A 14,670-nucleotide genomic window follows, 5' to 3' on the forward strand; every position below is an offset into this window, starting at 1 on the left:
ATGCTGCTTACTGTGTCGTGATAATGTCCTTGTCTCCCAATCAGGAGCCTCATGTCTTCTTGCCAGCCTCTGTGGAACTGTGGTAGGCTATTAAGTTAATTAGCAAGCAGGGTAAAGTCTCAGATCCTTTGCATTTTCTTTTAACCAGCTCTTTCTAGGTGAAAGACACATGGATATCACTGTGAAACTTCATGCTCTGTATAGCTCAAAATTTTGCCCAAGGGGAGGTTCCAGCACCATCTGATTAGTACATATTGCTGAGAAAAATACTAAAGGAAGAAAATACTAATAATAATATATTTCACTAACCCTCTTAGATATTAAGAAATGAATGAAAAGGTCTATATTATTGACTATTAATCACTTGGAATCTCTGTTGTTAAACTGAGAAGTAAACTGCATTGCCTAGAATATTGGCCATATTTTTAGTGATACTAATTAAATTGTTTGAGATAGATCTGAAGACAGCAGAAGCTTGTCTGGGCCTAGCTTCCTTGAATTCTTCTTCCCCGAATTGCTATGTCTTGGTAATTTTGAAATATGAGTTAGAAACCATCTACTTACCTAACTGATATCATTATTCCAGTTAATGTTTGTCCCAAGGTATTTCTCAAAGACTTAAGAAAAATGAAAATTCTATTTTTTAAAGGGCCTAGCTCTTTTAAAAGGATATGTTTCATGGAATTCTATTTATCAACAAACATGTAGACTACTTCAACAAGACTTCAATGTGATTTCATGTGTTTATTCTCCTGAGTCAGATGTGAACAATGTAATCCTAAAAGATTTTGGGGAATGGTGACATATGCTACTTAATTCACACTCATGAGCTTAAGAGAAGATAAGAGAATGTCATGCTCATGTGTGACAAAGATAAAACTATATTCTAACTAGGATTACAAGAATAAAACACCAGAAACTTGACAACTTGACATTTTTTCACAGTGCTTAAAAATAAATGTAATAAAACTTTGGCAGTTAATGTCATTTTGATTTGCTTTAATTTTATTTTCAAACCTCTATTATTGAAATAATAATTTCATTATTTCAAACCTTCATAGGAAAATAATAGAATTGTGCTGTTGTGTCAGTATAAGACATAGTCAACATTTTCTGCAATGAACAAGTAATGTTGAGATTAACAAGATTTCTCTTAATAAATGTTTTATACAAGCATAAGAAAAATGGATAGCACAAAAAATGGATAGCACAATAGGGTAACATTAGCACTTTAACAAATAAATCCCAACATTCTAATGGCTTAATACAATTGAATTTTATTTCTTGCTCATGCAACAGTCCAGCACAGGTGCTCATGGTCTGCTGCTGGGGCCACGATGCATCTGTCTCATGCAGTCATATAGAGACCCAAGTTGATAGCTGTGATGTGTTCTCCAAAACATGGCTTTAGAGGTTGCCATGGAAATCAACATCCAACTGATGGAAGAGGCAAGAGAAAGGATGCAAAAACCACACCAGCTGTTTAATTACCTGGGTCCAGAAGTAACAGGTGCCACTACCTCTCACATTCTATTAGTGGAAATTAGTCACATGGCCTCTCCTAACTGCTAGTAAGTATAGAAAAGTTGGTTTTGGCTGGGCAGCCACAAGACAAAGCTACTAAGAAAGACATAGCATTAATTTTATGTTGTTAGCCATCTCTGCTATAAGCGTAAGTCAAATAGAATTTTCATTTTTCTTAAGTCTTTGAGAAAAACATTGGGACAAACATTAACTGGAATATTGATATCCATTAGGTATGAGCTTGATTGTTTCTAACTCATATTTCAAAATTACCAGATATAGCAATTCAGGGAAGAAGAAAAAGGTTTAAAGACTGTGACATTCAGACTGCTATATTCAATACAGAAAAGATATTTGGTGATATTTCTATCCCTTTTTCTTAAATGTACATTCTTCTGGGATTTAATAAAGTCACATTCTGATTTTTAAAAATAGTACTATTAATCTCACTATAGAGCTCTGAAAATAATAGAATCGTGCTGTTATATTACAGCAGTTATTGATTGTCCATTTTTTCCAAAGACACTGAGATCTATGGAAGAAATAAGCCTCATTATTTTTCATTTGTATTTAATGTAGATGCAACAAAAGTTATATACTTCTTTATTATATATTTTGTCATGCCTATTAAATGCCAGTTATATAAGATGATTCCTGATCCAAACACAGTGCTTTATGTTATTGGGATTAAAAGAATTAGTTAAAGCTTTAAGTTAAATTACTTTTGAATTCATTTATGGCTAGGTACACATGAAATAAACACTCTACATTGTCTACAGTGGTAATTGCCAAGAAAAAGAGTATATTTTAGTAACAATTTGGCTAAGCGCCTCAAATTCAAAGTAATTCCACATTTAAATACTAACACTCAAACCTGAAAGTTGTCTTTAAAAGCTTTATAAATTGTTTCTGGTGAGGGTTTTACGACTATGGGGTGGGTGGAAAGGGGAGGAAGGAAGAGGGACTGCCTCACTATAAGCTGATAACAAGGTTGCTAAAAATTGCTCTTATCAATGGTCTTTGCACTTAACTTGTTTAAATAAAAGAAAAAACTTCATGTGAGTCATCGTATTTTGTTCACTACAGCTTGGCAGGTCACCTTGTTCTAGCAGATAGAAACTGAATCAATATGGGAAGAGCCAGAATTTGGACAAGGTTCACCAAACATTCACACTGATGCCAGGTGGGCCAAGAAAAAGGGAATGTCCTGCCTCTGAGGTATCTAAAAATTTTTATGTTTAAGTCAAGGGTTTTGTGTTGTGAAGGCAGAGCTTTGAATTTCTAATAGAAGAAGAAAAGCAGAATATACCCAGAAACTCCTGATTAAATTTATGGTCCTCTAATAATATTTTAACTTTAAAGGAGTCAGACGGCATTCTAGAAAAGAGCCCTTTGGTCAATGCTTTCCTATCTATAGTTTAATCAACCCTTCCATATATGCACATATTAAGCAAATTCAAATGACATTAAAAATAAGTTACATTTCTTATTCTAACCCCTGCCATTCATCCCGCTTTCCCCCCATTGTCACACATATGCCCACTTCCACTTCTGCACATAGGAAGAAAGGGTGAATAAATGTCAGAATCAAGTGGAAAGATTAATCATAGGCTGTTTTTTACATTGTTTTATTCTGAGTCAGAATACGCTTTACAGGACATAGGCAAGCACTTGAAATATAGGACTCAGAACATAAGATGCTTCGTAGGACCCAGGCAAGCACAGCAATTAAATGGAATTCCACATTTTTAAGGAAAGCTTTTTACTTTTCTTCCTCTTTTTGTTTCTCTTTACTTTTGCAGCTCCCTTCAAAAGTCCTTTCTGTGAGACACATTTTTAACTACCATATTGTTCAATTTTAACAAGAGTTCAGGGTGAGGAAGGTTATAGCTGAGGCATTTACAAGGATTTCCTGTTTGTAGTGGCTGCTTTTTCCTCTTTGGTAATGTGTTTTTCACATTTTTTAAAAGCTGCCTGTATGCATTAATATTACTTAATCTCCATCACCTTAAGAAACCATATGGGGCAGGGAGAGGAAGACCGGTGCTGGCTCTTTCCCTTTCTCAATGACTTGAGACACCTTAACCTTGCTTAACTTTTTCTAGAAAATGAAGATAGTAACACCTGCTCTGAATTGTCACAGAATTATTGTAAGGCTCAAATAAAATCTATGTATTTAAGGAATCAATATGTAATAAAGATCTTGAAGTGTTAGTAGTCGATTATATCTGAGATACATTCGCCAATATCCAAGGGGGACAAAGAGAGCTCCATACCCCGGGGGAAATGTAGTCCACTGACAATTTGTCCACACAATTAGAATACAAAATAGCACCCTATGCCTCAACTTTTTTACAGTCAAAGAAAGCATGAGGCATAAATAGTCCTGAAGGGATGTGGAGTCTGTTTGCTCTGCATATGATTTGCATATGCTCCTCTGAAAAGTCACCGGGCAACCGAGTAATTGTACAGTAATGATGTGGTTAAAAAAACAGATTGATCTACTTTTATTATTATTGTTACAAAATAATACATATATTTTTAAAATTCAAACGATACTAAAAGTTACATTCCCTGTCCTACTCCCTGTCACTTATACCATTTCCCAGTTTCTGTTTTTAGTTCTGATGGTTTCCTTTTTGCTCTCCACTGTGACTGATATACATTTATACTTCTATTTTTTGATGACTCAAGTTTCGATAGTATCTTCTCACTCCCAGTACAAGATATTCAGTACACAAAAGATATCCTTTTCTCTCCTGAGTTTCATTTTACGTGTGTATGAACACACAAACATGCTAACACACATGCTCACACAATCTTTTAGCTCTTGTATAGGTTCCTGAATTAATTGTTCAGTAGTATACTAAGCCTCTACTTCTGGTTTCCAATTTAGGCCCTGCATGTTGTCCAACACTAGCCCATCAGTGGGATTGTTTTACATTCAGGGCAGCTGCACTACTGCCTCCTTGGAGAACAGTGCCTCCTGGAGTTTAGCAGTGCACAGCCCTACAGATTAATGCAGGGGCCCTGATCATATTTGTATTTTGTTCCTGTATATGTTTAATCAATCTTTAGAATCTCATCTATAGTTGGTTCATTATTGCTGGGAAACAAACGGCATTTACAAAGTCAAATTTTAGTAATGTTATTCATTATATAAATGAATAGTATCTTTCTCTCCATATCCTTTACAAAGTCTTCAAAAGTTTCTGAAATTTCACTAGGATAAGTTGGTGGATCTTTTTCTCACCCATTCAGTACTTTGTGGGCTTTTTCAAATGGCAGATTTGTGTCTTTTTTAAAACTCTGAATAATTTTCTTCTATTACAGCTTTGATAATTTTCATCCCTCTGTTTTCCCTACTCACTCTTTCTAGAACTTCTTTTTCCATTTTTTAGTGATAAAATACACATACATAAATACTATCTTAACCATTTCTAAGTATGCAATTCAGTGGTACTAAATACATTCATAATGTTATGCCACATAACCACCATCCATCTCCATAACTCTTTTCAACTTGTAAAACTGAAACTCTATACCCATTAAGCAATAACTCCTCATTCCTCCTCCCCCAAACTCCTGGAAACAACTATTCTACTTTCTGTGTTTATGATTTTGAATACTCTAAGTACTTCATGTAAAAGGAATCATGCAGCATTTGTGTTTTTGTAATTGGCTTATTTCACTTAGCAGGTCCTCAGGGTTCATCAGTGTTTTAGCATGAATCAGAATTTCCTTCTTTTTAAGGCTGCATAATAGTCTACTGTATGTATACACCATAGTTACTTATCCACACATCCACTGATGGATACTTGAGTTGCTTCCATGGTTTAGCTACTGTGGATAATGCTGCTATGGTCATGAGTGTACAAATATCTCTTAGGGTTCTATCAATTATTTTGGGTATATACTCAGAAGTGGAATTGCTGAATCATATAATGATTCTATTTTTAATTTTTTTAGGAATGGCCATACTGTTGTCCACAGTGGCTGTATCACATAAATTCCCATTAATGGTGCAAAGGTTTCAGTTTCTCCACATCCTCACCAACATTTGTTATTTTCTGTTTTGTCTTGTTGATATTTGTCATTCTAATGAGCGTGAGGCGTTATCTCATGGTAGTTTTAATTTGCACTTCCCTAATGATTAGTGATGCTAAGCATCTGTTCACGTACTTATTGTCCATTTGTATATCTTGTTTGGAGAAATGTCTATTCAAGTACTCTGCTCATTTTTGAATCAGGTTGTTTGCTTTTTTTGTTGTAAGTTACAGAAGTTTCTATATATTCTAAATATTATATTCTGATAAGGGTATCAGATATATGACTTGAGAATATTTCCTCCCATTCTGTGGTTCACATTTTTACTCCATTGCTAGTGTCTTTTGATGTATAAAATTAATTTTAATGAGGTCAATTTGTCTATTATTTCCTTTGCTGTCTGTGCCTTTGGTGTCAAGTCCAAGAAGTCATTGCCAAGTCCAATGTCATAAAGCTTTTGCTCTATGTTTTCTTCTGAGAGTTTTATTAGTTTAGATCTTACATTTAGGTCTTTGATGCATTTGCAGTTAATTTTTGTATATAGTGTTGGGTAAGGGCCCAACTTCATTCTTTTGCATGGGAAAATCCAGTTTTCTAAGCACCATTGTTGAAAAGAGTATTCTTTCTACATTGAATAGTCTTAGCACCTTGTCAAAAATCACTTGATCATATGTGTTAGGGTTTATTTCTGGGCTCTGTATTCTATTCCATTAGCCTGTATGTCTGTCTTTTTACCAGTGCCACGCTGTATTGATTTTTGTAGCTTTGTTGTAAGTTTTCCAATAGAAAACTGTGATTTTTCCAGCTTTGTTCTTCTTCAAGATTGTTTTGTCTATTTGAGGTCCCTTCAGAATTCCATTTGAATTTTTGGATGAGTTTTTCTATTTATGAAAAAAAAAATCATTGGAATTTTGAAAAACATTGCACTGAATTTTTACATTACTTTGGAGAGCATTGACATCTTAACAATATGAAGTTTTCCAATCTATCCATGAAGATGGGATGTGTTTTCATGTATTTATGTATTCTTTCTTTCAGCAACATTTTATAGTTTAGGCTGGGTGTGGTGGCTCACACCTCTAATGCCAGCACTTTGGGAAAGCAAGGCGAGAGGATTGCTTGAGATTAGGGGTTCGAGACCAGCCTGGGCAACAGAGCAAGACCTCATCTCTACTTTAAAAAAAAAAAAAAAGTTTTATAGTTTAACTTGGGTAACTGTATAAGTCTTTATGCAACTAATTTTTGCATGTTGGCTTTGTATCCTGCTGCTTTACTATATTCATTTATTAGTTCTAACAGTTTTGTATGTGAGGTTAATCTTTAGGGTTTTCTACATATAAGATCATCTCATCTGCAAACAGATAAATTTACTTCTTCCTTCCAACTTGGATGCCTTTAATATTTTCTCTTCCTACCTAATGCTTTGGCTAGAACTTCCAGTATTGTATTGAATACAAGTGGTGAAAGGACATGCTTGTGTTTTGATCTCAGAGCAAAAGCTTTCAACCTTGCACCACGGGGTATAATGATTACTTTGTTTAAATTACGGCTGTTATTATATTGAGGTAGTTTTCTTCTATTCTTAATTTGTTAAGTGTTTTTTGTTTATCATAAAAGGGTGTTGAAGTTAATGAAATGTTTTGTCTGCATCAATTGAGATAAGTATGTGTTTTTTTCTTCATTCTGTTAATGTGGTATAATGCATCGATTGATTTTCATGTGTTGAACCATCCTTAGACGCCAGGAATACATTTCACTTGGTTGCTATGTATATAATCCTTTTAATATGCTGCAGATTTTGGTTTGCTAGTATTTTGTTGAGGATTTTTTAATCAATATTTACAACGGATATTGGTCTGCAGTTTTCTTTCCTTGCAGTCTCTTTGTCTGACTTTAATATCAAGTAAATGCTGTCCTCCTAAAATTAATTTAGAAGTGTTTCTTTTTCTTCAACTAAAAAAAGTTTGGGAAAGATTGCTATTATTTTTTTCTTTAAATGTTTGGTAGAATTTGCCTGTGAAGCCATCAGGTCCAGATCTTTTTTTTTTTTTTTTTTTTTTTGGTGGGAGATTTTGAATACTGATTTAATATTCTCACAAGTTTCTATTCAGATTTTCTATTTCTTCATGATTTAGTCTTGGTAGGTTTCTTCTTGTTGCTAGGAAGTTGTTCTTGTAGGTTATCCAATTTTTTGTAGTATAATTGTTCATAACACGTTTATAATCCTTTTTATTTCTATAAAGTCAGTAGTAATGTCCCCACTTCTACTTCTGATTTTGGTAATTTGAGTCTTCTCCCTTTTTTCTTAGTTTATCTAGCCAATGTTTGTCAATTTTATTGATGTTTTTAAGTGATTAACTTTTGATTTCATTGATTTTCACCATTGGTTTTCTATTCTCTATTTTGTTTATCTCTGCTCTAATCTATTAATTCCTTACTTCTGATAGTTTGGGTTTAATTTATTCTTCTTCTTCTAGTTCTTTAAGTTGTAAAGTTAGGTTGCTGATTTGAGATCTTTCTTGTTTTACAGTGTAAGCATATATAACTATAAATTTTTCCCTCAGGATTGCTTTTGCTGTGTCCCCTAAATTTTGGTATGTTGTGTTTTCACTTTTATTGATCTGTAAGTATTTTCTAATTTCCCTTGTGATTCTTCCTCTCAATAATGAATAAAACTAGGCTGGGCATGGTAGCTCACACCTGTAGTGCCAACAATTTCGGAGGCCAAGAAGGGAGAACTATTGAGCCCAGGACTTTGAGACCAGATTGGACAAAATACTGAGACCTTGTTTCTACAAAAAATAAACAAAATTAGTTGAGCATGGTGGCATGCACCTTTAGTCCCAGCTACTTGGGAGGCTGAGGTGGAAGAATTGCTTGAGACCAAGAGGCTGAGGCTGCAGTGAGCCAAGATCATGCCACTGCACTCCAGGTTGGGCAACAGAGGCAGACTTTGTCTCCAAAAAATAAAATAAAAAATAATGGATGAAACAACCAGACAGAAAATAAGTAAGGAAACAGAGGATTTAAACAGCCCAATAAACCAACCAGATCTATTAGATCTAATATATATATATAGTGTGTGTGTGTGTGTGTGTGTGTGTGTGTGTGTGTATATATATATATACACACACACACACACACACACACACACACACACAGAACATTCTACCCAACAACAATGTACACATTCTTCTCAATTGTATCTGGGATGTTTTTCAGGATTCACTACATATTAGGCTACACATTAAGTCTCAATAGACTTAAAAAAATAGATATCTGATTAAATGTCTTCTCTCATCTCTAGAGAATGAAGTTAGAAATCAATAACAGAAATAAAACTGGAAAATTCCACAGAATTGTGGAAATTAAACAACACCCTCTTAACCAAGATATTGAAGTCTCTATTATTATACTACTATATTTCTCCTTTCAATTTTGTCAGTTTTTATTTTATATATTTTCATGATCTGTGATTAGGTGAGTAAATGTTTATAATTGATCTATCTTCTTGCTATACTAAAACTTTCATTAATATATAATGTTCTTTTGTCCCTTGTAAACTTTTTAAACTTAAAGACTATTTTGTCTGATGTTAGTATAGCCAGACTTTCTCTATGTTGGTTACTATCTGCATGAAATATCTTTTTCCATCCTTTCACTTCCAATCTATTTGTATCTTTGGATCTAAAGTGAGTCTTTTGTAGACAGCATATATTTGAATCACGTATTTTATTCATTCTGCCAATCTCTGTCTTTTGATTTGAGAGCTTATGCCACTTACATTTAAAGCAATTACTGTTAAGTAAGCACATACTTCTGTCATTTTGCTATTTGTTTTCTGTAGGCCTTATAGCATTTTCATCCTTCACATCCTATATCATTATCTTCTTTTGTGTTTATTTTTTTGTAGTGAAACATTTAAATTCCTTTCACATTTCTTCTGTTTGTTTTCTATAGCTACATTTTGTGGTTATCATGGGGATTACACTTAAGTTCCTAAAGTTGTAACATTCTAATTTGAATTTGTTCCAAAGTAACTTCAATAATACACAAAATCTCTGTTCCTTTAACAACTTCATTCTCACCCCTTTCAATTGTTGATGTCACACAATTATGTCTTTATACATGATGTCCAAAATACATTAATAATTATTTAAATGGTATTAGTCTCTTAAATTATGTTAAAAAATGTGGATTTATAAGTCAAAATTACAATATTACCAGCTTTTAGATTATTTTTAATGTATTAGTCTTTTAAACCATGTAGAAAACAAAAGTAATAGACCATTGTGACAATAATATTAGCTTCTATAATTGTCTATGAATTTACCTTTATTGAGATATGTATTTCTTCATATGGCTTCACATTACTCTCTAGTGTCCTTTTATTTTACCCTGCAGGACACTCCCTTGAGTATTTCTTGCAGAGAATATCTAGTTGTAATGAACTCCCTTAGCTTTTCTTTATCTGGGAATGTCTTAACTTCTGCCTTACTTTTGATGGACAATTTTGCTAGATATAAGATTCTAGGTTGACCTTTTTTACTTTTACTTTTTGTTTTACTTTTTACTTTTTGTTTTACTTACTTACTCTTACTCTTTGTTTTACTTTTAGCACTCTTAATATTTTGGCCCACTGCCGTTGGCCTTCAAATTCTCTCATGACAAATTTGCTCATAATCTTATTGAGTAGCCCTTGTATATGGCAGGTTGCTTTTCTCTTGCTGCTTTTGTTACTACAAAGGCCAGGGATTCGGTCTAGGTCCCATTGCTTGCTGCAAAAGAAAGCCAATCACTGAAACAATTAGTATTGCCAAGGAAGAAGGCTTTAATCAGGTGCTGCAACCTGAAACATTAGATTCAAGGCAGCGAATTTTAGAATAAGGGCCTAGACCCAGCCTCTGAGCTTCTCAATAGCCATTCTGGTGTGTGGCACTCTTTCTTGTCTTACACCCATGTTCAGGTGTACACTGAAGTTGTACAAAATCTGACTCCTCAGTAAATGAGCAAGATGTCATAGTCCTCAGGCTGATGATTCCATTTCTTTAGACATATACAATGTGGATTTTAGAGTGAGAGTAAAAAGTCACTGTCACCATTTAATGTACAAAAGGTAAGACTTGCAACTGACTTTACTGCTCCACAGACAGTCCTTTGGCCAATCACCATTTTCCTGCCTGGCTTCCCTGCTTGCTCCCCTTAACTGCTCACTCTGAGTATGAAAACCCTTCAAAGCTCCACGAAAGAATAGCTACAGCTCAGGGGCAGCCTTCACTACATGTGGACACCTGTGCTTGCAGAATGCAAAAACAATCACTAGCTGTAACACAACAATGTAGAAACTAAAATAATATATTAATATTAGTTTTAACTGATTGAAGAGCAAAAAAGCTGAAAAGAAAAAGTTTTGCAAGTAGGTCAAATTATGATGGCTGCCATGACTTTTTAGATAAGAGTCTTTGTTATAGAATAATTATTAAAAAGACATGGATTATAAAGCTTCTGATAGAGTTGGAAAAAAAAAACCAAATTACCTATTAGAAGGAAAAGTATATGGAGGCTAATCCTGGGGCTCTATGCTAGAAAAATTAATTGTTGTATCTCCAGTAGTTATTTAGAGAGGATATTTCCTGAGAAAAGTTAAAAAATTTGGAGAATCTCAAATATGGACCTTCACAAGCATGTGACACAGCACAGAGCGTTTGATATGTGTTCTGTGGAGTTACGAATTTTTGCAGTTGTTCAGTTTGAATTCCTCTGGTTGGATCTCCAGGGACTTTAGACATGGTTGGAATAGATGGTCTTACAGCAATAAAGACCTCATCGACAAAGGCCTGTTTGTGCTTTTTTTTCAACAAATCTATTTAAGCACAAGTCCTGTCATTATACCCTTTCAAATTCTCTCTAGCCCATCCTCTCATCTCCATCACATTGTCATTGCCTTAGATCAGACCCTCATCATTTCTCCCTTGGACGATTCCCATAGCCTTCTAATAGGTTTTCTTACCTCCAGACTTGCCATCCAGTCTATACTCTACACATCACTAGAATGATATGGGTAACAGGAAAACTTGATCATTAAAATTCTTTAATGTCTCCATACTTCTTCAGCAAAATTCCAAAATCTTTAACATAAACAAATACAACATTATCCCTGACTTAGTCTGCCTACCTCACTAGTCACTTCTTGTACTCCAACCTCCCCAACCCATCTACTTTGCTTTTCAGTAACACAGAACTATTTGCCACTTCCTTGATGCCACCTAATCCCTTGACTTTATGCATTTGTCTACTTCCATTTTCCACACCCATATCTTTAAACAGGCTCTCTTCCATCTTCCCAACACCACCTGGGATCATCTCTTCCAGATACCATCCCTAACACTACACTTTCTCACTCAACTGTCCCGCTCCATCCAGGATTGGTTAGGTGTCCAATTATGTTTTCCACAACACTCCAAATATAATTCTTACCAGCCAGCATGGTTGTGATGTTTCTTCTATACTTTCTCCCCACAAGAAGAAAGTTTTGTGAGGGTAAGGATCATATTTAATACTTGTATGTTCACCAGAAACTCATCATACAGTTTGGAGATAACATTTGTTGAAGGAGAGAAGAAAAGAGGAGAGAGGAATGGAGTGAGGCAGAAAGGAAATGATGACGAGCTACTCTTCAAAATTAAGCTGGATAACAACAAGAAATTCTAGAAAGCAATTGAGGCAACCTCCACCCTAAGACCCAGGTAAACCCTACATTTAAAGTGCTGTTCTGGGGCACAGTGAAAGATTTCTGCCAGAAAATTTGCTCCCTAGGATTTACATGATGATGAGATTACATGCTGCCTTGTGGCAACAAAATCAAAAGTCTGTAAAAGAAAAAGCGTGCTATGCTTCTGAATGTTTGGAGATCCTACAATAGATTTTTCATTCAGCTATTTTGTTGCTGCTTCATGAGCACACCTGACAGTCTTGTGGGATAATAGAAATAAACTTCTCATAAACAACGGTCAAATTTTTCAGATATATATTTTCAACACAGAACTAGCAAAATGTACACAGTGCTAAGTTGTGCCATCTCTGTACTTTACTACGCAAGGCACTTCTTTGATAATGTGCAGCAGAATAATGTTATAGCAGATTTCACAATGAAATCGTCAATGAATCTTCTTTCAGTCATTTCATTCGGGATCAAATCGGACATATGCAAAGTTCTTAGAATCACTTTTGTCAAATGGGGCAAAATTGCAGAGGTCATAGCAAGTAAGGAGCCATCCTCTTTTATAACTGCTATGCCCATCCAACAACCACAGCTTTCTTACCAAGATGGTCACCAAGGTCTGCTGCACAGGATTGCATACTCCAGAGCACCCTCCAGTCAGTGCAGACACACCAACCGCTGGTCAGCCTACAGGGGTGGTGTCTCTGCTTCTTCTGCCCAGGCAAAGCTGATATCATGCTAGAGAAAGGATAAGCCATTGACACCATCCCCAAAGGATCCTTAAGAACTAGCATTGCAATTTACATTATTGACCATTCAGTGTTGGTTGGACACATGGTGGTAAATTTAAGAGATCCTACTAGCCAAACAGTCCAAGCCAAGTTGCTCTGGGATAACAAGGTACTAGCATTGCAACTGGTCTGTGCTGTAACACCAGAAGGAAACTGAGTCTAGGTATGCTGTATCAAAAATCTATGATGATGTCTTCCACGGTATTCTCTCTCAAGGCCCTTTGTCAAAGAGGTCACTGCTACTAGGCCTTCCATAGGAGTAATTGCAGGTAATTTGGCAAACTAGGTCTTCCTAAGAGAGAGAAACTTGGGTAGGGAATGTCAAAGTCCATGATTCACATTCTATACCACAATCATGACCAAAGTGATCATAAGATTGGGGTGGCTTGACTTACAGAGGTTGTTAACAAATGTCCCAAGGTGGTCGCGGAGGCACTTGTCAGAAAAGGTAGTGTTTTTCTTTCAAGAATCAAAAATTGAGCCAATTCAATAGAAACTCCTTGGTTTCACTGACCATATTGAAAAACTCCAGAAATTATTCTAAGAAATTCTCCAACCAGTGAATCACATCTGTTGGTTTTAACACCTGAGGCAAACCTTGGCAACCATCAGGACACTGTCAAGGATACACTGAAGGAGCGTCTCTACACAGAATTGCAGTAAATCGACTCCTTGCAATTCTGGGGGCAAACAACACAGTTCAAATTTATCAAATGTTAATTTTAGAGTTACCACTGGAAAAACTAAAACAACTATCTTATCCAATTGGCACTCTGTATTGTCATCTTTACATCTTTACTGTTAAATCTTAAATGTTCCTGGTCATATGAAACAATGTTTTCAAAGAATATAGGAACCGTTCTTCATTTTGAAGATGTATTCATTGACTATGTGATAAAGGAAAAGCCTTCGGGAAATATTCATTGACTATCACATTTAAACCAGTTATGGGTATGGAGGAAAGCAAAAAATGCAAAAGTTAAAAACTTTATATCTCTTTCTAAAGTTACCAATATTACTGGTATCCAATCTATCTAAAACAGCATGAATGTAATATATAGTTACCCTACTATAAAGGCCAAGCAAGAATTTTAACCTCTTTGACAGCTCCTCAATTTCCACCATGTTTTCCACTGCAAAGGTAGTCACTTCTCCACCCATAGCAGTAACACTTTCTGTGGCCCTGACCTCAGTAGGAACAGGACTGCTATCTAGAAAGACCAGCTCTTGATGTTTGATGTCCGGGCTATACCCCCAAAACAATGAAATCAGCAGTCCTTGTGGTGGGACAAGGAGAGGGCTAGACACCGAAATGCACCTAAAATTTTCCAGGTGATTCTAATGTGCAACCAGGGTTGATAATCACTGGGACAGTCTAACAGGCCCACACCAAACACAGTGAGAGAAGTAAGCAAAGGGAAATCTATTCCTTGCCCTTAAGAAATTTGCTGGCCAGGCTCGGTGGCTCACACCTGTAATCCCAGTTCTTTGGGAGGTCGAGGTGGGTGGATCACGAGGCCAGGAGATGGAGATCATCCTGGCTAACACGGTGAAACCCCGTCTCTACTAAAAATACAAAAAATTAGC

General features: G+C 35.5%; 1 long non-coding RNA gene across 2 annotated transcripts; it reads left to right on the forward strand.

The window, feature by feature from the left end:
• On the forward strand, window positions 1–12,305 carry LOC124900233 (uncharacterized). 2 transcript variants are annotated; one of them, XR_007060486.1, is made up of 3 exons: window positions 1–82; window positions 2,611–2,742; window positions 12,147–12,305. It is a non-coding gene; the product is annotated as an uncharacterized LOC124900233 (long non-coding RNA). The 2 variants fall into 2 exon arrangements; XR_007060487.1 differs by having other exon boundaries at window positions 2,611–2,707.
• Window positions 12,306–14,670: the final 2,365 nt, after the last annotated feature.

The sequence above is a fragment of the Homo sapiens genome, chromosome 7, assembly GCF_000001405.40.
Source record: "Homo sapiens chromosome 7, GRCh38.p14 Primary Assembly".
Lineage (NCBI taxonomy): Eukaryota > Metazoa > Chordata > Mammalia > Primates > Hominidae > Homo > Homo sapiens.